Here is a 24,485-nt window from a genome sequence, read left to right on the forward strand (position 1 = left end):
CAAACTTTCTTGGTTCACTCTGTGCGGAGGCCCCCCCCAAAAAAAATACCTAATAGCTCTATTTATTAAGGAATTAGGTGCAAAACACTTAAAAAGTTCTTATGTTCTAACAACTTAGTAGCCATTTGTAAAAAAACCCCACATGTACACAAAACATTCACATATATTGTACAGACAATAATACACATACACTGAATAAGACAAGTACATTAAAAACATATTTTATTTATATTTGTATTTCATTCTTAAATAATTACATAACCTCCCAGCAGGTTCACCTTGCCCGCTGCCTAGACAGAGCCAATTTATCAAGATAGGGAAATTGCCATAGAGAAAGAGTAATTCACGCAGAGCTGGCTGTGCAGAAGACCAGTTTATTATTACTCAAATCAGTCTCCCCAAGCATTCAGGGGTCAGAGTTTTTAAGGACGACTTGGTGGGTGGGAGTAAGCCGGTGAGTCAGGAGTGCTGATTGGTCAGAGATGAAATTATATGGAGTTGAAGCTGTCTCCTTGCGCTGAGTCAGTTCCTGAGGGAGCCCACAAGATCACATGAGCCAGTTTATCCATCTAGGTGGTGGTGCTAGCTGATCCATCAAGTACAGGGTCTGCAGAATAGCTCAAGTACTGGTCTTAGGTTTTACAATCATATATATATATATTTTTATATCTATATATTTTATATTATATATATATTTATTTTATTTTATATATATATATATATATATATATATATATATATATATATATATATTTTTTTTTTTTTTTTTTTTTTTTTTTTTTAAGATGGAGTCTTGCTCTGTTGCCCAGGCTGGAGTGCAATGATGTGATCTTGGCTCACTGCAATTGCTGCTTCCCAGGTCCAAGTGATTCTCTTGCCTCAGCCTCCTGAGTAGTTGGGACTACAGGTGTGTGCCACAACGCCCCACTAATGTCTGTATTTTTTTTTTTTTTTTTTTTTTTTTTTGAGACGGAGTCTCGCTCTGTCACCCAGGCTGGAGTGCAGTGGCGGGATCTCGGCTCACTGCAAGCTCCGCCTCCCGGGTTCATGCCATTCTCCTGCCTCAGCCTCCCAAGTAGCTGGGACTACAGGCGCCCGCCACTACGCCCAGCTAATTTTTTGTATTTTTAGTAGAGACGGGGTTTCACCGTTTTAGCCGGGATGGTCTCGATCTGCTGACCTCGTGATCCGCCCGCCTCGGCCTCCCAAAGTGCTGGGATTACAGGCGTGAGCCACCGCGCCCGGCCTAATGTCTGTATTTTTAATAGAGACGGGGTTTCACTATATGGCCAGGCTGGTCTCAAACTCCTGACCTCAGGTAATGAACCTGCCTCGGCCTCCCAAAATGGTGGGATTACAAGGGTGAGCCACTACATCTGGCCTATATATACGGTCCAAGATGGCTGCCACAGCAGCAGCGTCACATCTGGCACAACAGTGCAGCCATCAAGGCAAGAGAGAAGGGAAAGGTGAGATGCCAGGGTAAAATGTGACCTGTTTCTACACTCCATCTGGACCTGGTGGGGGATGGCAGACAGGTATAGATGCAGAGAAGTCTTGCCAACCAAACAGGGATAAAGATTAGAAGCCTTGGTCCTGTTAACCAGACCTGGATTTGGAAAACTAGGAAGTTTGCCAGCCAAAGAATTTTTTAGGAAGACAGTATCTCCTTAGCCCACTAGGTTTTTCAGTGGTTTTGAGAGACAGTATATTGTGTATGAGGACATCAGGACATACTCTAAAACTCTCATGTAGTGGAAATATGTTGTTTTGTCTGAATGGCATTCAGGTTTTCCCTGGAAGCCACTAGTTTTCTTTTTCTTTCCTTTTTTTTTTCTTTTTTTAATTAAGACGGACTCTTGCTCTGTTGCCAAGGCTGGAGTGCAGTGGTGCAATCTTGGCTCACTGCAATCTCCACCTCCCGTGTTCAAGCAATTCTCCTGCCTCAGCCTCCTGAGTAGTTGGGACTACAGGCGCGTGCCACCATGCCCGGCTAATTTCTTGTATTTTTAGGAGAGATGGGGTTTTACTGTGTTAGCCAGGATGGTCTCGATCTCCTGACCTTGTGATTCACCCGCCTTGGCCTCCCAAAGTGCTGGGATTACAGGCATGAGCCGCTGCACTGGCCTAGTTTTGGAGTTATGGAATCCAACCTTGCCTTGAGCAAGGGAAGGGTGTTTTTAGAGGACCAATAGGTAGTTTGCCCAGGCATCAGAGAGGACATAATATCTGATCTGAGATCTGAATGAGGAGTAGAAGTTGGCCAAGAGGGCAAACAAGGACTCCAAACAGAGGGACTGGCATGGACAAGGCCGGGTGAGGGTACATAGCTTATCTGATAAATTGTTTAGGGTTCATGTGGCAAGAGATGATTCAGGGGCTAGGAACTGAAGTCTCTGTGGCTAGCTAAGGGAGTCTGGGTTTGTCTTGGAACCATGGGACACACTGAATGATTTAATTCAGGGAAAAACTCAACTAGAACCATGGTCTCTGGGAAAGCAACAATTTCTAGTATGTGGCAGAAATTGCTCGATATTCATAAAATGCCTTTCTTTTTCCTCCTGGGCACAGGGCTAGACTACAATTCCCAGGCTCGATTGCAGTCAGGTGAAGCCACGTGACTGAGTTTGAGCCCATCAAATATAGGTGAGAGGGATATATGGTATTTCTAGGCCTAGCCCATAATAATTTCCTGCACAGCCCTCCACATTCTCTTTTTCCCATTTTGCTGGAGAAGATCTGAGGACCTAGATGGGGCAGCTCCAAGATGGAAGTGGCCTGGATCCCTGAGTCACCATTTGGAGACGAGCCTGTCATGGACTATTATGTGAGCAAAGAATCCATTTTTTGGGGGGTGGGGGGGTGGGATGGAGTGTCGCTCTGTGGCCCAGGCTGGAGTGCTGTGGTGTGATCTCGGCTCGCTGCAACCTCCGTCTTCCAGGTTCAAGCGATTCTCCTGCCTCAGCCTCCTGAGTAGCTGGGATTACAGGCGTGTGCCACCATGCCCAGCTAATTTTTGTATTTTTGGTAGAGATGGGGTTTCACCATGTTGGTCAGGCTGGTCTTGAACTCCTGACCTTGTGATCTGCCCGCGTTGGCCTCCCAAAGTGCTGGGATTACAGGTGCGAGCCAGTGCATCCAGCTTAGTTTTTCTTTGTTCAAGGGACTAAGCAAGAACAGATGAAGGCATGGGTGAAAACAAGAGAGAATTATTCTGGAAGCAGTACTGGCAGGATTTGAGCAAATAATGAGGGGGATGGGGAAGCCTTGGGTCAGACTATCTTATGTTGCTATTTATAGGATGTGGAAGGAAGGGTCTAAGAAACATCTTGTATGATGTGCTGTGGGATATGGAGGAGGTAGAGAACAGGGCTAAAAATAACCTTCCTAGAGGTGCAGATATTTGGCAGAGACCCTGTATTCCTGGGCCTCTCGCTGACATGGGCTGTCAACAAACTGTCACGCTCTTCTCTAGATATGTCCACTTCTGTCCTGAAGCAGATATTTTTATGTACACAGCCATGGGTGAGTTCTTAACTTCTTTGTGCCTCGTTTTTATCATCTGAAGATGGTGATAATAAGTGATAGGACTTATCTCAAAGGGGTTTACGAATATATACCGAGTGTTTAGCATGGTGTTGGAGATGTAGTGAGTAGTTGAGAAATGTCAGAAATGAGCATTAAAATTCCGTTAGCTCTAGCTTGACTTCTCTATCAGTGCATACAAACACTCAAAGATAAAGCTATGAGACAGAGCAGGATTTTGCCTGTCTTGTTCACTGCTACATCTCCAGCCAGCTTAGAACAGTGACTGGCTTGCAGCAGCTATTTAAATGTTTGGTGAGTGAATGAATGAATAAGGAACTCATCTCATTTTCTTTCCTTCCTCCTTCCTTTCTCCCTTCCTTCCTCCCTCCCTTCCTTTCTTTCTTCCCTTCTTTCCAACCATCCATCCATCCATCCATCCATTCATCCATCCACCCACCCATCTATCCATCCATCCATCCATCCATCCATCCATCCACCCACCCACCCACCCAACCATCTATCTATCCATCCATCCATCCACCCATCCATCCATGCATCCACCCATCCATCCACTTATCCATCCATCCATCCATCCATCCATCCATCCATCCATCCATCTCTCTTAGAAAGGCAGTAGAGTGTAGTGGGTTAGCTCACAAGTATTTTTTTTCAATTGTGGCAAGATACACATAAAATAAAATATGCCATTTTAACCTTTTTTTTTTTGAGATGGAGTCTCATCCTCTCACCCAGGCTGGAGTGTAGTGGTGTGATCTCAGCTCACTACAACCTCTGCCCCCCAGGTTCAAGCGATTCTCCTGCCTCAGCTTCCCAAGTAGCTGGGATTACAGGCGTGCACCACCACACCCAGCCAATTTTTGTATTTTTAGTAGAGACAGGGTTTCACCATGTGGCCAGACTGGTGTCAAACTCCTAAAATCAAGTGATCCTCCTGCCTTGGTCTCCCAAAGTGCTGAGATTACAGGTGTGAGCCAAGCACACCCAGCATTTGGAACCATTTTTAAGTGTACATTTCAGTGACATTAAGTACTTCACATTGTTGTGCCACTGTATCATCCATCCCAAAACTTTCCTCCCAAACAGGAAATCTGTACCCGCTAAACACAAACTCTTCATTCTCCCTTCCCCTCGGGCCGTGGAAACCACCATTCTACTTCTGTCTCTATGAATTTGACTAGTCTAGGTACTTCATACAAGTGGAATCAGATACAGTATTTATCCTTTTGTGACAGCCCACAAGTTCTGTGATCATATAAGCTGTGTAATCTTGGGAAACTCAATCTTCCTGACACTCCACTTCCTCGTCTGTGAAATGGTTGTAATAATAGTACCTGCTTCACAGGGTGGCAGTGAGGTTTAAATGAGATAATAGAAGGCACTTAGCCCCAGTGCCTGGCACATAGAAAGTGCTCACTATTAGCTATTAGTTACAGCTAAGCATGTATTGTAAATTAGTGGACACTGGTATTGTGTGTCTAGCACTGTCCTGAGCACTTTACCCGTATTATCTCATTTAAACTTCCCAACGACCCTATGACATGGTGAAACCACTAACATCCACACCTAACAGATGAGAAAACAAAGGCCCAGAGAGGCCAAGTCATGTGCCCAAGGGTTACATAGCTAGTTTACAGCAGAGCTGGGATTGAACGCCAGGCAGCCTATTTCCAAAGTTCATGGGTCTTGCCGCTGCATTGCATTACCTCTTGCCAGTCTCTGCTGCCTCTGTCTGTGAAGGATCGTCATCTATACACTCAGTCCTGGCTCAGGCTGTCACGGTGACTGCAGGTGTTTGAAGCTGTGGGACTCATTGGAAAAATAATTGAAAATGGGATTGCTGTTTCTTTCTTTTCTTTTTTCTTTCTTTCTTTCTTTTTTTTTTTTTTTTTTTTAGACAGGGTCTCACTCTGAGGCTGAAGTGCAGTGGCGCGATCTTGGCTCACTGCAACCTCTGGGTCCTGGGTTCAAGTGATTCTCATGCCTCATCCTCCTGAGTAGCTGGGATTACAGGCAAACACCAACACGCCCTCTCTTTCTTTCTCCTTCCTTCCTTCTTTTCTTTCTTTTTCTTTTTTCTTTCTTTCTTTCTTTCTTTCTTTCTTTCTTTCTTTCTTTCTTTCTTTCCTTCCTTCTTTTCTTTCTTTCTTTTTCTTTCTTTTTCTTTCTTTCTTTCTTTCTTTCTTTCTTTCTTTCTTTCTTTCTTTCTTTCTTTTTCTTTCTTTCTTTCTTTCTTTCTTTCTTTCTTTCTTTCTTTCTTTCTTTCTTTCTTTTCTTTCCTTTCTTTCTTTCTCTGTCTTTCTTTCTTCTTTCTCTTTCCTTTTTTTTTTTTTTCAGAGCCTTGCTCTGTTGCCCAGGCTGGAGTGCAGTTGCACAATCTTGGCTCTGCGCAATCTTCGTCTCCCAGGTTCAAATGATTTTCCTGCCTTAGCCCCCCAAGTAGCTGGGATTACAGGCGTGCACCACCACGCCCGGCTGAGTTTTGTATTTTTAGTAGAGACGGGGTTTCACCGTGTTAGCCAGGATGGTCTCAATCTCCTGACCTCGTGATCCACCTGCCTCGGCCTCCCAAAGTGCTGGGATTACAGGCGTGAGCCACTGCACCTGGCTGTTTGCTGTTTCTTAACATGTGAGGTTCCAACCCAGTGGGGCCCACTAACATGTGCTGTTCTGCTTTGGACCGTGGGGAGCTGGGGTGCTGGACCCATCTCCCACCTTCTACAGCCTGGAGTGTGCTCCCAGATGACACAGCCAAGCTGGCGTGTTTTTCCCTCACTGGCGGAAAGTTCAGCAATCCCTGACTCCCTCACCCTGCCCTGTTGAGATTTAAAAAAATTTCCTCTTCTGGGCCTCAGAGCCGCCTCCTACCTGAGGTTTATTGCTTTCTCTGCACCAGCATTGAGCCTCTGCAGCCCTTTAAAAGGGGCAGAGCCCATAGTGTGATCAGCAGGTCCTGTCCCTAGGAGATAAGAGTATCTTGCACAGCAGGTGCAGGTTTCCCAGCAGCTCAGGCAAGAGTCCGATGTTTGTGCCATCTGATCCTGATGTCTGGAGAGGTGAGCCCTCTGTCGGCATCTTCCTCTCCAGGCTGGCAGAGCAAGGGGGGCTGTGAATTAATTCAAGGTTGGGGGTCGGGGCCTTCTATATCTGGACTTGCCTCCCACCCGTGTCCTCTGTCCCTTTTTCCCTACGGCAGATAGCCATGTGTGAGCCTGAATTTGGCAATGACAAGGCCAGGGAGCCGAGCGTGGGTGGCAGGTGGCGAGTGTCCTGGTACGAACGGTTTGTGCAGCCATGTCTGGTCGAACTGCTGGGCTCTGCTCTCTTCATCTTCATCGGGTGCCTGTCGGTCATTGAGAATGGGACGGACACTGGGCTGCTGCAGCCGGCCCTGGCCCACGGGCTGGCTTTGGGGCTCGTGATTGCCACGCTGGGGAATATCAGGTGAGACCAGCTCTGAGGATTCAGCCTGATGCTGACTTGGGGCACTGGGTGTGGAAAGCAAAGGCGTTGTCAAGGACCCCTGGGCGCATACGTATTCGGGATTTCAAGGAGCGCTCTGGATAACTATGGGGTTGGGAGTCAGACTGGGGTCAACTCCAGACCCCGCAGCCTGTGAGCTTGTGACTTTGAGCAAGTCATTCTCTTTTTGAGTAGCTGGATCACAGGCATGCGCCGCAGCACCCAACTAATTTTTAAATTTTGTTGTAGAGATGGGGTCTCACTATGTTGCCCAGGCTAGTCTTGAACTCCTGGTCTCAAGCGATCCTCCTGCCTTGGCTTCCCAAAGTTTTGGGATTACAGGCATGAGACACCATGCCTGGCTGGCAAGTTACTCTCTAAACCCAAAGTTCCCCGCCTATAAAATGGGAATAGTAGCTTTTAAATGTTTTTTTTTTCAAGCCAACATATCTATATTGCTAACCATGTACCAGGCACTAGTCTAATTACTTTATAGATATTAGTTATTTAATCCTCACAAAAGCCTTGTGGGGTAGGTCCTGTTATTAGCCCCATTGTACAGCTGCAAAAGTGAAAGGCCATGTAATCTGTCCAAGCTTAGAGGGCCAGAAAGTGGCAGAGGCGGGAGTCAAGAACAAGCTGTCTGGCTCCAGCGCTCAAATCCAAGTGCCTCATGCGGAAGTCATGAGAATTAAATGAAGTAGAGCGCCTGGCACACACCAAACATACAACAGGCATTGGTTGCTGTGTTATTGTTACCACTAGAAGGGGGTTTTAGGGAAAGCAGAAATGCATAGAAGACCTGAGCCAGGTTTTCCCACCTGGGTATGCAGAGATCTGCAGTGGTCCTGGCTTGTCAAGAGGTGATCAAGAAGGAGGGGCAGGGAAAGGGACAGGCTTCTCTGGCTTAGCTCTCGTCTGGGTAGAGGCTCAATGGGGAGGTCTGTGGACATGGCTGCTGGTTCCCAGGAGAGCCAGCCATCACGACGAAGATCTTGAGTGGGGTGCCTGGCAGGGTGATCTGGGACATGGTTGGTCTGTATTAAATCTCACTCAAAAAATAGATCTGAATGAGGAAACAGAAATACTATTTCTGAGAAAACCAGAATGGAAAAGAGCTTTAACATCTCTTTAGGCCGGGTGCAGTGGCTCACGCCTGTAATCCCAGCACTTTGGGAGGCTGAGGCGGGTGGATCACCTGAGGTCAGGAGTTGGAGAGCAGCCTGGCCAACAGGGTGAAACCCTGTCTCTACTAAAGATACAAAAATTAGCTGGGCGTGGGGGCAGGCACCTGTGGTCCCAGCTACTTCGGAGGCTGAGGCAGGAGAATTGCTTGAACTGGGAGGGAGAGGTTGCAGTGAGCCGAGATTGTGCCACTGCACTCCAGCCTGGGCAACAGAGTGAGACTCCATCTCCAAAAAACAAACAAACAAACAAACAAACAAAAAACAAACCACATCTCTTTAGACGTCCAAGGGAGGCTGCAAGTGAAACAAAAAGTACATGATCTTCCCTTTGGACGGATCTGAGATTGAAGGCAACCTTTATCACTTCTTAGCAGGGTGACCACAGCAAGTTGCTGAAGCCTCTGTGTGCAGTGGTATAAATATGAGTAATAATAATAGCTGATGTTTTTTGAATGCTAACTACATAGATACTACTATGGGCTGTACAAATATTAATTCTTAATATCTTTGCAATAGCTTTATCAGGCAGAGATCATTGAGGCACAGAGAGGTTATGTAACTTTGCCAATGCCACACAGCTCTTCAGTGGCAGAGTTGAGCTTTGAACCCAGGCCAGCTGGCTGGAAAGACCATCTCTTTGGCACTGCAAATACTGCCTCTCTGTTTGGCTTTTTTGACAAATATTTATTCAGCACCTATTGCGTGCCAGACACTGACTTTGAGGTTGTTCACTGGATCCAGGATAAGCTATGTATGTAAGTTATAAGCACCCAGCACAGCCCCTGGCACACAGTAAGTGTCAGAGAAATATATGCTGAGTGAACAATGAATGAATGAATGAATGTGTCTTGATTGTTTTATTGCTAATGAGTGTAAACCAGGAAATGTGTGGTTTTCGTCACCTGGCCCTCCTGATAGAGCCATGCTCTGGGTGACAGTTTCTCTCCCCTTTGGGGCTCCCCTGGGAAGCCGCCTCACCCTGACTTCATCTGTGTATCTCAGCAGAGCCCAGGCTAAGCTACTTGAGGCCAAGTAGGCCTGGCTGCCCCTCTTCCCAACCTGTGGAGTCTGAGCACTGGCTGGTGCTTTCAAACCATGCATGGAGGTCAGGCGCAGTGGCTCACGCCTGTAATCCCAGCACTTTGGGAGGCCGAGGCAGGTGAATCACCTGAGGTCAGGAGTTCGAGACCAACCTGGCCAACATGGTGAAACCCCGTCTCTACCAAAAATACAAAAATTAGCCGGGCGTGGTGGCAGCCCCGTTATCCCATCTACTTGGGAGGCTGAAGCAGAAGAATCGCTTGAAACCAGGAGGCGGAGGTTGCAGTGAGCCGAGATTGCACCATTGCACTCCAGCCTGGGTGACAAAGGGAGACCCTGTCTCAAAAAAAAAAACAAAAAACAAAAAACAAATCAAATCAAACCGTGCATGGAGCTTATCTGAGGGCCTGGGCCCAGAGCTGAGCCAGACAAGTTGGGGTAGCTGGTCTCGAGCTATCAGGGTGTTGGACAAAGTCCTTTTGGGCAGAGCTGAGGTCCTCTGCCCAGTCTCAACTGAATGTCCTATGTCCTTTGGAGGATGGGTAAGCTCATTGGTGGGCTCTTTACATTAGGGGGGCACTTTGGTTCTCAAGTGACATGGGGAGTCTTGGGGTCCCTTTCTCTCTCATTGGGGAGTATCCATTCCTGGAAACCAGATGGATTCAGGAGGCCAAACTGTGACAATATTTCCTCCATCAGAGTGGGACTGGTTGGGACACTGATGTGAGTGCAGCCACCCTGGCTCTGGGGCCTGGGCTGGTTGAACATCTTGGTGAACACGAAGGCTCTTTACCCATGAGCCAGGGGGTGGCTGATCAACTGCAACCTGCCCTTTGACCTCAGGTTCTGACTTGTCTAATTCCCTTCCACACCCCAAACTCCCAATCCCAATCCCTAACCTGGTCATGAACCTCCAACTCCACCCCGTGATTCTCAATGCCATTTTCAGCCTGAACTCCAAATCTGCATTTTACACCCATCACACTTTCAGACCACAAGTAGGGTTTTCACTGGCTGAGCAGTTCAACCAATCAGGAGGTCTTATTCAGGGCCTAGCTACTCATAAAGGGAGACCCGGGCCGGGCACGGTAGCTCGTGCCTGTAACCCCAGCACTTTGGGAGGCCGACGTGGGTGGATCGCTTGAGGTCAGGAGTTTGAGACCAGCCTGACCAACATGGTGAAACCTCGTCTCTACTAAAAATACAAAAATAAGCCAGGCGTGGTGGCACACACCTGTAGTTCCAGCTACTTAGGAGGCTGAGTCAGAAGAATTGCTTGAACTCAAAAGGTGGAAGCTGCAGTGAGCCGAGATCACACCATTGCACTGCAGCCCGCGCGACAGAGCAAGACTCCGTCTCGTAAAATCAAACAAATCATAAGGGGAGGCCTGGATACCGCTCTTGGGCTACTAACTTGGAGCCTTGGTATCTCAATCTGACCTGTGGCCACATCTCTGAAGGGCTGGAGGGAGGCTTGGAGGGAGTCAGGGAGGAGTTAAGGGATGGTCTCCCTACACGCTCTTCCTCCAGGGCCATCCTGGGGGCTGGGCTTTGGACTTAGAGGCTGCCCTTTATCTCTTACCCTCTGCCTGGCATCTCAGGGAAAATGGAAGCAATTTGGTGCCTCTTTGTATTTGAGCTGGGCCCCGGACTGACTCTTGCCCTGAGAGGCCAGCCTGGTGGGTTGGCTGGGACACACTGTCTCAAGTGCCAGCCATGTGGTCAGCCCTGGGCTCATGACTTCCTCTGCTCTTGTGGGTTACAGTGGTGGACACTTCAACCCTGCGGTGTCCCTGGCAGCCATGCTGATCGGAGGCCTCAACCTGGTGATGCTCCTCCCGTACTGGGTCTCACAGCTGCTCGGGGGGATGCTCGGGGCTGCCTTGGCCAAGGTGGGTAAACCCCAGGGGCTGGGCTAGTCTTCCTCTCTGATGGGGCTGCTGGAGGTGCATATGTGGGTGTGTGTGTGGGACAGTGGGGAGTGGGGAAATGTCCAATCTTTTGCTTGTTTCTGCCAGTGGAATTGGTGGACGTTTTTCTTCTCTCTTTCTTTCTTATTGCATTTTATTGTATTTTTTATTTGTTTGTTTTTTTGAGATGGAGTCTTGCTCTGTCACCCAGGCTGGAGTGCAGTGGCCTGATCTTGGCTCACTGCAACCTCTGCCTCCTGGGCTCAAGCAATTCTCCCACCTCAGCCTCCTGAGTAACTGGGATTACAGGCGCATGCCACCATGCCCAGCTAATTTTTGTATTTTTAGTAGAGACGGGGTTTCATCATGTTGGCCAGGCTGGTCTTGAACTACTGAGCTCAAGTGATCTACCTGCCTTGGTCTCCCAAAGTGCTGGGGTTACAGGCATGAGCCACTGTGCCCGGCCTCTCTTTTTTATTTTAGAGATAGGGTCTCACTCTGTTGTCCAGGCTGGAGTGTGGTGGTGCAATCATAGCTCACTGCAGGCTCGACCTCCTGGGCTCAAGTGATCCTCCTGCCTCAGCCTCTTGAGTAGCTGGGACTACAGGTGTGTGTCACCACACCCAACTAATTTCCTCTGCCTAGGAAAACCAGAGACCTTTGTTCACTTGTTTATCTGCTGACCTTCCCTCCACTATTGTCCTATGACCCTGCCAAATCCCCCTCTGTGAGAAACACCCAAGAATTATCAATAAAAAATAAATAAATTAAAAAAAATTTTTTTCTGTAGAGGTGGGCTCTCGCTGTGTTGACCACATTGGCCTCCAACTCCTGGCCTCAAGTGATCTTCCTGCCTTGGCCTCCCAAAGTGCTGGGATTACAGACATGAGCCACCGAGCCTGGCCAGCCACAGAGTTTTCATAGCTTTATGCATAAATCCATGGATAGACTTTCTCCCTTCATCCCTCTTTTTCTTTTTTTTCCCTCTCTTTCTTTCTTTTCTTTTGCCCTTAAGTCTTGGTTCAGCCAGGGATACTTCAAGCCCTTCAAGATGTGGGCCTTGCTTGGTGTGTGTGTGGGGGGTGGTGGATGGGGGAGCTCTGTCAGCTTGGCTGTGATAGGGTCTGAAGCTGTAAGTGCTGACCCACCGCAGACTTTGTTCTCAAGCCTCACTTTACTGTCATCCCCTGCTGTGGTCTCTCCATGTCCCAATTTGAGAGCCACAGCCTGTTCCCCTGTCTATGGAACACGCCCGGGACCTTCCTTCTCGGCTTCTGCTCTGAAAAGCAGTGGCCAGACTCGAGCTCAAGCCCTGCCACTTAAAACCTGTCAAACATGGTTCTGACAGCTGCGGGGCAGCAGGGTTCCCTAAGCACATTCTTCCTGCTAAATGTTTTACACATATTCTCTTATTTCATCTCCCAGCAACTTTATGAAAAACCATAGTCAGTTCATAGAGAGCGCTTACCTTGTGCCAGGCACACCAACGGCCTTGTCTGTGAGCTGGGAGCTGTCAGTATCATCCCTATTTTATAGATGAGAAAACAGAGGTGCAGAGAAGCAGGTAACTTGCTCAAGTTCAGACGTGCCTGTAAGCAGCACAGCCCCGACTGGATCCAGAGTCCAGAAGCTTGTGCACTGCACTGTCTTTCCCCTTCGGGGCTGTGATAGCCCTGAGGCCGATCGCCCATAGAAATAATTGAGCTCAGGCTTCAGGGCTCTCCTGCACATGCCCCTTCCACGGTCCTGTGGGGGCTTAGCAATGAGTTCACCTGATCATATGTGTTTGTAAAGTTTCTAAGAGTAAGGTATTTTTAGCCACGCATGGCGGCTGGTGCCTGTAATCCCAGCATTTTGGGAGGCAGAGGCGGGAGGATCACTGGAGCCTAGGAGTTCCAGACCAGCCTGGGCAACATAGTAAGACCTTCCATCTCTACAAAAAATTTTAAAAAAAACATTAGGTGGGCATGGTTGGTATGTACCTGTGGTCCCAGCTACATGAGAGGCTGAGGTAGGAGGAACACTGGAGCCCAGGAGGTCCAGGCTGCAGTGAGCTATGATCGTGTCACTGCACTCCAGCCTGGGTGACAGAGCTAGACTCTGTGTCAAAGAAAAATAAAAAGATAGTTTATGTTCTTTTTCTCAAAGAGGATCATCTAAGTTACATAAGTTTTAGGTCTGTAACCTGGAGCCATGACTGGGTTATCCCCATTTTTCTTTTTCTTTTTCTTTTTTTTTTTTTTGAGACGGAGTCTTGCTCTGTTGTTCAAGCTGGAGTGCAGTGGTGTGATCTCAGCTCACTGCAACCTCTGCTTCCAGAGTTCAAGTGATTCTGGTGCCTCAGCCTCCTGAGCAGCTGGGATTACAGGTGCCTGCCACTTCACCCCGCTAATTTTTGTATTTGTAGTGGAGATGGGGTTTCACCATGTTGGCAAGGCTGGTCTCAAACTCCTGGGCTCTAGTGACCCACCCATCTCAGCCTCCCAAAGTGCTGGGGTTGCTGGCGTGAGCCACCACGCCTAGCCCCATTACTATTTTTCAGCTGAACAAAGTGAGGCTCAGAAAGGTTCAGTAGTTCACGCAGGGTCGCACAGTAAAATCTGGCAGAGCTGGGATGTGGATGCAGGTATATCTAACTGAAATTGGACATAACCCTTCACTGGCTCTTAAGGTGGGTAGCATGCGTTTTTTAGGCCCTCTCCCCTCAGTTTCCAGCTGTCTCTCTGCCCCACTGTGAGGCTCAGCAGCTTCTCTGTGCAGGCGGTGAGTCCTGAGGAGAGGTTCTGGAATGCATCTGGGGCGGCCTTTGTGACAGTCCAGGAGCAGGGGCAGGTGGCAGGGGCGTTGGTGGCAGAGATCATCCTGACGACGCTGCTGGCCCTGGCTGTATGCATGGGTGCCATCAATGAGAAGACAAAGGGCCCTCTGGCCCCGTTCTCCATCGGCTTTGCCGTCACCGTGGATATCCTGGCTGGGTGAGTGTCCCTTGGCAGTGGGGTGACCATGCCCAGATCTGTGCTGTTCAGCTCTGGGGGATTTCAGGCCTGAGGGTCACAGATTCAGTTGCTATTAGGGGCCAGGAAGGTGCTGCAAATGGGGAGGGGGGCTGGCATCAGGCAGACAACAGGGAGTGGTGGGGACTGCAGTGTCAGAGGTGCTGCAGTCAGTTCAGCTCTTGTCAATTATTGCTGGGTACATGGGTCTGGGCTGATGCTTTCATTCAAAGGAAGTCAGAAATTTAAATCTGTATGTGATGTTTTCCAATGTTGGTAGCGTAAATACAACATTTCTGTGAACTGTGTTCATTCGGTCAGCGGGCAGCCGGGTTTTAGCCTCAGGCTTACAAAGAGCATGTGTAGCTGTTGTCTCATTTATTTTTAGACTCCCAGCAGGCTTTGGAAGGGATTAAGTAGACAAGATTGGGGATGATGTCTCCCGTTTTATAGATAAGGAAACTGAGGCTTAGAGAGGACAGAAGTGACTTATTTAAGGTCAGTGGGCAGTGGCAAATTAAGTGATAGATTTGGGACAAGAGGCTGAGTGAACCCTTTTAATTTTTGTTGTAGAGATAGGGGTCACGCTCTGTTGCCCAGGCTGGTCTTGAACTCCTGGCTTCAAGCCATCCTCCTGCGTTGGCCTCTCAAAAGTACTGGAATTACAGGCATGAGCCACAGTGCCCAGCCCAGGGAGCCCCTCCCTAATGTCTGACTCTTTCCTTTCTTTTGGACACAGAACCAAGTCTAACCTTTCTCCTGGGTCAGCTCTCCCTCAACTTTGGGAGGTGGAGCCTGGGGCAGGCTGGGGAATGTGTGTGTAAAGCTGTGGCCATGCTTTGCTGCCCCCTAGTGGTCTTTGATTCACTTACAAGCCCTTTTTTTTTTTTTTAGCTCCGCTTCCCGGGTTCACGCCATTGTCCTGCCTCAGCCTCACGAGTATCTGGGACTACAGGCGTCCGCCACCACGCCCGGCTAATTTTTTTTTGTATTTTTGGTAGAGACGGGGTTTCACCGTATTAGGCAGGATGGTCTCGATTTCCTGATCTCATGATCCGCCCGCCTTGGCCTCCCAAAGTGCTGGGATTACAGGCTGAGCCACCGCGCCCCGCCTACTTACAAGCTTTTTGACTTCGAAGCTGGACACAGGGTGGGGATGAGGTCTACAGGCCCCCAGCTGGAGAGAATGGGGTAAAGACAGAGCCCCAGAACGAGAGGAGTGCACCTGGGGAAGAGTCTCCCTGTAGGATTCTGGGTCTTAAGCTTGTGGTGCAACAAGGGCCTCATCTGGACCAGCTAGATTAGTTAATGCTTTTTGTACATTAATTATATTCGAGGTGTGGGCTCCATTTGCATTTTCTCATTCACTCCTGATGACAACCTATGGGATAGTCACTTTCACCTCACCTGAACACAGAGAGGTTCATGGAGGTTCCCACACCTAGAACTATCTGGGCTGGGGTTTTTCTTTCTTTATATGTATATTTTTAAAGCTTTGTGGGTGAACCTAGTAGGTGTATATATTTCTGGGTTACATGAGATGTTTTGGTACAGGCATGCAATGCATAATTATCACATCAAGGTGAATGGGGTATTCATCCCCTCAAGCATTTATTTTTTGTGTCACAAACAATCCACTTATACTCTTCGTTATTTTATTTTATTTTTAGTTTTAGTTTTTGAGACAGAGTCTTGCTCTGTCACCCAGGCTGGAGTGCAGTGGCATGATCATGGCTCACTGCAACTTCCAACCCCCAGGTTCAAGCAATTCTCCTGGCTTAGCCTCCCCAGTAGCTGGGACTACAGGCGTGTGCCACTATTCCCAGCTAACTTTGTATTTTTAATACAGACAGGGTTTCACCATGTTGGCCAGGCTGGTCTCTAACTCCTGACCTCAAGTGATCTGCCTGCCTTGGCCTCCTAAACTGCTGGGATTTCAGGCATGAGCCTCTGTGTCTGGCTGAGGTTACATGAGATGTTTTGATACAGGTATGCAATGTGTAATAATCACGTCAAAGTAAACGGGGTATTCATCCCCTCAAGCATTTATTCTTTGGGTCACGAACAATCCTATGATACACTTTTTGTTATTTTATAATGTGTGGGCTGGGTTTTGAATCTAGGTCAGCTTGACTCCAAAAGGATTGAAACTGATTGACTTTCCTTTGTAGACTTTGGAGCAAATGTAGCTCCAGCTTCTCTTCCTGCCATCACCCAGTAGGCATTTTTGCTGGGCATTCTAGAGGAGTGTGTGGGGAGTGCTGGACTGCACGCCCAGCGGGGAGCCATGCCTTCTGCTTCCTGGTGCTAATAGCCCCTCTGCCTTCTTTAGGATCTACCCAGGAGCTCATGATGTAGGAGTTTAGAGAGGGTTTCTGGGTGGTGTGTGACTAGGCCTAGTTGGGGACATGAGTGTGAGGTGAGGTGGGGTTTGGCTGGGATCCTGGTGACCTTGGTGCCTGGGTGTTTGCAGGGGCCCTGTGTCTGGAGGCTGCATGAATCCCGCCCGTGCTTTTGGACCTGCGGTGGTGGCCAACCACTGGAACTTCCACTGGATCTACTGGCTGGGCCCACTCCTGGCTGGCCTGCTTGTTGGACTGCTCATTAGGTAGGAGTGTGACACAGGGTCACCGGCCCATTGGATGGGCACTTGGCAACATCTCCCAGAGAGTCCGGGACTAGAGGGCTAGGCTCTCACTTGGGTTTGGAAGAGAAAAGAGGGAGCCTCTTTAGAGGCAAAGAAAATGGCTCCATCTAGGAGCTTTGGTTGCAAGTGACAGAGATCTATTTCAAAATAGCTTATGTCATAAAGAGGAATTCATTGGCTCACATCATCAAAAACTTCACAGGTAGCAGTGGTTTCAGGTGGCGCTCAAACAATGTCTTTAGGACTTGGTCTTTCTCCTTTTCTTTTTTTGACAGTTTCCCTCTGTTGCCCAGGCTGGAGTGCAGTGGTGTGATTCTGGCTTATTGCAACCTCCGCCCCCGGGTTCAAGAGATTCTCCTGCCTCAGCCTGCCAAGCAGCTGGGACTACAGGCGCCGCCACCACGCCCAGCTAATTTTTATATTTTTAGTAGAGTCGGGTTTTCACCGTGTTGACCAGGCTGGTCTCGAACTCCTGACCTCATGTGATCCACCTGCCTGGGCCTCCCAAAGTGCTAGGATTATAGGCATGAGCCACCGCGCCCAGCCAGTTTTTGTGATTTTTTTGGTAGAGATGGGGCTTCACCATGTTGGCCAGGCTGGTCTCCAACTCCTGACCTCAAGTGATCTGCCTCCCAAAGCGCTGGGTTACAGGCGTGAGCCACTGCACCCGGCTTCATTTAATTCTGGGCTTTCAGAGTGGCAGCAATGAGCATCTTCAGGAAAAGGGTTAGAAACCAAGCAGGACCCGGGCATGTGGTTCACGCCTGTAATCCCAGCAGTTTGGGAGGCCAAGGTGGGTGGATCACTTGAAGTCAGGAGTTGGAGACCAGCCTGGCCAACATGGTTAAAACCCTGTCTCTACTAAAAATACAAAAATCAGCCAGGTGTGGTGGTGCTTGTCTGTAGTCCCAGCTACTCGGGAGGCTGAAGTATGAGAATTGCTTGAACCCAGGAGGTGGAAGCTGCAGTGAGCTGAGATCATGCTACTGTACTCCAGCCTGGGTGAGTGAGACTCTGTCTCAATTAAAAAAAAAAAAAGAAACCAAGCAGGAAACTGTCTCTCTCTCTGCAAGGGGATCTGGCTATTAAGGCTGGGGAGGCTCAGGAAGTCATCTTTCTGGAGACTTCTGAGCCTGGAGACATGACGAAGGGCTGGGTCTCACCTCCGGGGCAGAGACCTTACTGGGTCATCTTTCTTGCAGGTGCTTCATTGGAGATGGGAAGACCCGCCTCATCCTGAAGGCTCGGTGAAGCAGAGCTCGTGGGATTCCTGCTGCTCCAGGTGTCCTCAGCTCACCTGTCCCAGACTGAGGACAGGGGAGTTCCTGCATTTCCTGCCAGGGCAGAGGCCCAGAGGAGCGACCCCCTGCTTCCACTGCTTGGGCCTGCTTTCTCAGATAGACTGACTGCTGAGGAGGCTCTAGGTTCTTGGAATTCCTTTGTGCTCATCAGAGACCCCAGCCTGGGGAACACGCTGCCCGCACTGCCCAGAGAGCAGTGCAAACACCACAACACGAGCGTGTTTCTTGAGAGGAATGTCCCCGAGTTGGACAAGGAGGCTGTTTCTGCACATCAGCTCATTTCCCGCACCCCATTTCTTGCTTGATTGCTTTGTTGGGGGCCTGGCCACTTCCTTGCTTCTCAAGCTGACAATTCTCACTTTGCAATAAATAGTCCAGTGTTTCCTTCCACGTGCTCACTGGCTTGCCTTTCATTTGAGAAATGGGCACTGCTGAGGAGAAAGCAAGCAAAAAAAAAAGTCTGGGGTTAGGCCTTGGCTGGGGTTAGGCCTGAGCTGATCCCACAGCCCAGCTCAGAGTCCTGGGCCATGGCAGGCTCTTGAAGTTGAGGCCAGACCAGAGCCTGTCTCCACTTGGACGGGCCCATCCTGGAGCTCTGTCTGGAGCTCAGAGTGCATATTGAGTCCAACTTGGAGTCTAGTCAGAGTCAATTCCAGATCACAGACCTCAGGACCCTGCTGAAAACCCCCAGGCAGAGTCCAGGGTCTGGCTGAGTGCCCAGTGCTGTCCCTACTCGAGTGCTTGGTGCTGTCCAGGACATGGGTCAGCCCATTCATTCACTCTAGGTGGGGAGGTGGGGGGGTGGGTGGGATTGGGATGGGCTGCAAGAATTTCCTGAGGAAATATTAGGTTGGTGCAAAAAAAATTTTTTTTTTTGAGACAGAGTCTTGCTCTGTCACCCAGGCTGGAGTGCAGTGGCATGATCTCAGCTCACTTCAACCTCTGCCTCCCAGGTTCAAGCACTTCTCCTGCCTCAGCCTCCCAAGTAGCTGGGATTACAGGCATATGCCACCATGCCCAGCTAATTTTTGTATTTTTAGCAGAGACGGAGTTTCACCATGTTGGTCAGGCTAGTCTTGGACTCCTGACCTCAAGTGATCCACCCACCCCGGCCTCCCAAAGTGCTGGGATTACAGGCGTGAGCCACAGTGCCCAGCCAGTTGCCCAGCCAGCCCATTACTTTCAATGGCAAAAACTGCAATTACTTTTGTGCTAACATAATAGAATCCTGAACAAGTGACACAGTACAGGCCTGAAGAACCAGTGGCACTTGGGTGGAAGATAGGAGTATAACAGATAAGAAAGGACGGAAAGACACACCCTGGAAGTCACCCCTTCGAAGTAGAGTATGTGTCTTCTCCATAAGAATCGATGGGTCATTTATGGAAGATGATCATTATAACACCAGAAAGAAGGGCCAGGGAGAAACCACTCTCAACAACAACCGAAAACTCACCCACTTCAACAAGATGAGCAAAATGCTCACTTGAGCAAAAATGAAGAAAATCACCACTACAATAAGAGATTGTCCATGGAGGAAATAGATTCACGATATAGCCACACATCCAAACCATTCTCAGGGAAAAGGAGAATAACAAACAAGAATAACGATGACAACCCGACAGAATAGAAAAGGGGAGGAAAAAATATGATACAATCAGAAACAAGCAAATTAGGACATTTACAGAGTTCAAAATGGGTCAGCCATGGTGTTTCACGCCTGTAATCCCAGTACTTTGAAAGGCCAAGGCGGAGGATTGCTTCAGGCCAGGAGTTCGAGACCATCCAGGCAACATGGCAAGACCCTGTAACTACAAAAAATAAAAAAATTAGCTGGGCAGGTGGCACATGCTTGTAGTCTCCTCTACTTGGGAGGCTGAGGTGGGAGGATCGCTTGAGCCTGGGAGGTTGGGGCTGCAGTGAGCTATGACAGCACCAATGCACTCCAGCCTGGGCAACAGAGTGAGATCCTGTCTCAAAAAAAAAAAAAAAAAAAAAAAAAGGCCAGGCGCTCTGGCTCACACATGTAATCCTAGCACCTTGGGAGACTGAGGTGGGAGGATCACTTGAGGTCAGGAGTTCAAGACCAGCATGGCCAGCATGGTGAAACCCCTTCTCTACTAAAAATACAAAAATTAGCCAGGCATAGTGGCGGGTGCCTGTAATCCCAGCTACTTGGTAGGCTGAGGCAGGAGAATTGCTTGAAACCGGGAGGTAGAGGTTGCAGTGAGCCAAGACCATGCCACTGCACTCCAGCCTGGGCAACAGAGTAAGACCCTGCCACAAAATAAAGTAAAAGAAGAGTAAAAAATATTAAAAGTTACTATTTTGTTTGGTGAAATAATGAAATAAATCTTTGATTAATCTAGTAAATAACAAAAGATATACATCCATACATATATATACTTATATGTATATAGCTAACATTTATGGAGAGTTTATTACATGTTAGGCACTGTGCTGAATGCTTTACACGTATTATGTCGTTTACTCCCTACGACAATCCTATGAGATAGTACAGTGGGTTGAATAGTGTCCTCCCGAAATCTGTGTCAGTCTACAGTCTTAGAGTGTGACGTTATTCGGAAATAGGGTCTTTGAAGATGCAATTAAGGTACGGGTCAAGACGAAATCCCACTGGATTAGGGTGCCCTTTTCTTGTAAGAGATAGTAAAAGAGGCGCAGAGACACAAAGGAGAAGGCCACGTGAAGATGGAAGCAGAGGTTAGGGTTATACTGCCAAAAGACAGCACCAGGAGCCGCCAGGAGCAGGGGGAGGGAAGGAAGGTTCTCCTCTAGAACCTTCGTGGGAAGCCTGGCTCTGCTGACATTCTAATTTCAGACTTTCTGGCCTCCAGAACGGAGAGAGAATAGTTTCTGTCATCTTAAGCCACAAGTCTGCGGTGTTTGTTCGAGCAGTTCCAGGAAACGAATAGATAGATTCTCTCATTATTCTCATTCTGCAGAGGAGCCAGTGGAGGTTCTAAAGGATGGTGTTAATGCTAAGCTGCATGGTTAGTGCACTGGTGGGCAACTGTAGAAGGTCAGGTATATCTGGCTGCAGGGTCCATGATCTTTGTCATCATACGTTTCTGTTTCTGAATAAACGACAATATTATGTCCTCTGCCTAGTCTCCTACTTGCCTATTAGTTCCTCATTAAAAAGGGGACAGAGCCATGGTGGCGCGTGCCTGTAGTCCCAGCTACTCAGGAGGCTGACATGGGAGGATCGCTTGAGCTTGGGAGATCGAGGCTGCAGCAAGCTGTGATTATATCATTGCACTCCGGCCTGGGTGACAGAGCAAGACTCTGTCTGGAAAAAAAAAAAAAAAAGGAGGACAGAAAGACATTCATTGTTAACTCCTCATTTCAAACTTGCAATTGGATTTTAAGTTGTGGCTTTCATTTCAATTTCTAGACCATAAGCTCTCAAGAGCAAGATGGATATAAATTCATATTTGTATTAAATAACTGTACATTATGTGTTTGGCATTTGCTGAATAGAAGGGACTCAGTTCTTTTCTTTTTTTTTTTTTTTTAAACGGAGTCTTGCTCTGCCGCGCAGGCTGGAGTGCAGCGGTGTGATCTTGGCTCACCGTAACCTCCGCCTCCCGGGCTCAAGCGATTCTCCTGCCTCATGTTGGCCAGGCTGGTCTTGAACTACTGACCTCAAGTGATCGGCCCACCTCGGCCTCCCAAAGTGCTGGGATTACAAGTGTGAGCCACCGTGCCTGGCCAGAAGGGACTCAGTACTCACTGACTGGAAGAATGGCATAGGCTGATCCCAGTGATTCCCAAATTCATTCTGACCCTACAGAGTGGAATCCAAAACTGATCCAGATCACCAGGTTCATCTCTATCCCAGCTCCCTTTTCCTCAGTAACAAGGAAGTCACAGAATTTTGGGGTGTTAGAGCTAGAAACTCTATTACAGTAGTAAAATATGGTGGCTGTAAGTTTACATCCTGAGGAAGATCCAAGTTTTAATTTCAGAACTGTCACCTTTTTGCTGTATGTGCTTGAAGAAGCTATTGAAATTCTTTAGCCTCAGCTTTCTCATCTATAAAATGCAACTACTACCTCAGACTGCTTATGACAATATGTTTATAAAGCATTAGCACAATGCCCAGTATATAGTAAGTACACAATGTGTTAGCTCTTATATTTATTATCAAAGGTTTTGCAATTTGCAGGTATCAGAATAAGAATAAGGTGGGGTTTGGCAAGGAACTTCTTCTTCTTTTTTTTTTTTTTTTTTTGGAGACAGCATTTCGTTCTGTCATCCAGGATGGAGTGCAGTGGTGCAATCACAGCATGCTGCAGCCTCGACCTCCTGGGCTCAAGCGATCCTCGAACCTCAGACTCCTGAGTAGCCGGGACTACAGGTGTACATCACCACAGTGGCTAATTAAAAAAAAATTTTTTTGTAGAGATGGGGTCTCACTGTGTTGCCCAGGCTGGTCTTGAACTCCTGTCTTCAAGTGTCCTCCCACCTTGGCCTCCCAAAGTGTTGGGATTACAGGCGTGATTACCAGCCTTGGCAAGTAACTTCTAAATGGACTTGGGACATATGTATTTTCTCAGTCAAGTATTCTCATATAGGGACTATTAGGGCCTCCCAAGTGAAAAAGGTTGGAACCTCTTCATCCCGTCCAACGTCAAATTTCAAAACCCAGAGAAGCTAAATAATTTGACTTAATTACAGAGTTGTCTAGCAGCAGAGCTCAATTAGAATCCACGATCTTGGACACACATCTAGTGCCCTTTCTATTGCAACATGTGTGTACTTAATTCTCCAGACCCTTGGGGTACAAGTACCGAGCCATTTCCTTTTGCCAGAATTGTGTTGAGGTCCTCACATGCCATGTTGTTGGGAATCCTAGTATCCCTACTAGGATTATATTTTCCAAGAACCCTGGGGGTTTAAGCAAGCCAAAAGGGAAGTGTACCAATCTTTTATTAATACTTGCATGGGCTGGACGCGGTGGCTCACACCTGTAATCCCAGCACTTTGGGACGCCGAGGTGGGTGGATCACCTGAGGTTAGGAGTTCAAGACCAGCCTGGCCAACAGGGTGAAACCCCTTCTCTACTAAAAATACAAAAGTTAGCCAGATGAGGTGGCGCACGCCTGTAATTCCAGCTACTTGGGAGGCTGAGGCGGGAGAATCTCTTGAACTTGGAAGGCGGAGGTTGCAGTGAGCCAAGATGGCGCCATTGCACTCCAGCCTGGGTGACAGAGTGAGACTCCATCTCAGACAACAAAACAAAACAAAACAAAACGAAACATAACACCTTGCATGATGTCGTAGGGAAAATTTTACTTCGTGCCGCAGCTGCTGTTCTCTCCGCTGCCACATGGTGCCGCTGTTGGAAGAGGTTCTCAGAGATGCTGTATGCTATAGCCAAGTCACATTGGTGTCTTCAAAGAGGGCTCCTTTACTGATAATTCCACAACTTCCATGCCAAGCACACTTGCATGCGCCATGGACTCTGCACATGTATCCAAGCAAGGCTTATGGCCTTTCAGGTACCTCCTCTCCCCTTGGCCTACCTAGAGCCCTATACCCACCACCACCGTCAACATCATTTTCCCTCCAGAGTCCGACCACCTCAGAGTGAGTAAGATATTTACTTGTCTTGGAACCCAAAGCCACTGTTCCCCCTCCAAGTCCCTGGACTCATCATAAAGTTTGGGGGTTATGATGAGCAATGCTCCTTTTAGTGCTTGGAACACAAAGCATTCATTCTCCTCCCTTAATGTCTAATTGCCTCAACTGATTTTTAGGAATTGAAAATTTGTAATCCTTAGAGATTTTTTTTCCCCTCAGAGACTTAAAGTCTCTCATCCAATTCCCAGACCTGAGTGAGTTCACAGACTTAAGTCTCTGTGAAGGAATGGGAGGTCCGGTAACCCTGCGGAAGAACCCTGATGGAATTCGGCCTGTGAAGATAATGAGCTTTTATCTTGGCTTTCACCAAAAAGGTTTGTGGCCATTTACTCAAGGAAAATACAGGGGGACTCTTCTAGTTATGGATACTCTGCAGACACTGGCTCTGAGCAGCTACACCTCCTGAGGTCTCTGGGTCCCATTGAAGCACGCTGCATAGAGCAGAGGCTTATCAAGTCCATGTGACAGATACTTTGTCTGGAATCGACCTCATGTTTAGGTGGACTGGCTCTTGGAACGCATCCTATAGTTCTCTCTACAGTTCCTGATGGTGTAGTTGGAAATAGTGCCTCAGCAAGTGCTAAAATCTCTACCCTGCCTTTACAACCCATGGAGCTGGAGTTATGGTAGGAAGAACTAAGTGGAAGCCACTGGAACACTTCCTGTATGCCAAAATTTTCAATCAAAAGCAACGCTCAAGGATGACAGAAGATGCCACCCCCATATGT

At 48.1% G+C, this 24,485-nt stretch overlaps 1 protein-coding gene across 3 annotated transcripts, besides 1 other annotated feature; it reads left to right on the forward strand.

Annotated features, from left to right (window-relative positions):
* Window positions 1–6,491: 6,491 nt before the first annotated feature.
* On the forward strand, window positions 6,492–18,477 carry AQP8 (aquaporin 8). Of its 3 annotated transcripts, none has more exons than XM_011545822.3 (6): window positions 6,492–6,602; window positions 6,740–6,990; window positions 11,002–11,128; window positions 13,907–14,121; window positions 16,613–16,747; window positions 17,989–18,477. In XM_011545822.3, the coding sequence occupies exons 1-6, from the start codon at window positions 6,591–6,593 to the stop codon at window positions 18,035–18,037; spliced, it is 789 nt and encodes a 262-aa protein (XP_011544124.1). In that variant the 5' UTR covers window positions 6,492–6,590; the 3' UTR covers window positions 18,038–18,477. The 3 variants fall into 3 exon arrangements, with proteins under 3 accessions (XP_011544124.1, NP_001160.2, XP_011544125.1); NM_001169.3 differs by having other exon boundaries at window positions 6,743–6,990; XM_011545823.3 differs by lacking the exons at window positions 11,002–11,128; window positions 13,907–14,121.
* Window positions 23,392–23,511: an enhancer, noted in NCBI's record as "active region_10606". NCBI's record gives its function as "activates an Ori minimal core promoter by ATAC-STARR-seq in GM12878 lymphoblastoid cells {active_cell/tissue: GM12878}" and the evidence as "EXISTENCE:reporter gene assay evidence [ECO:0000049][PMID:35858748]".

The sequence above is a fragment of the Homo sapiens genome, chromosome 16 (assembly GCF_000001405.40).
Source record: "Homo sapiens chromosome 16, GRCh38.p14 Primary Assembly".
NCBI classification, from domain to species: Eukaryota; Metazoa; Chordata; class Mammalia; order Primates; family Hominidae; genus Homo; species Homo sapiens.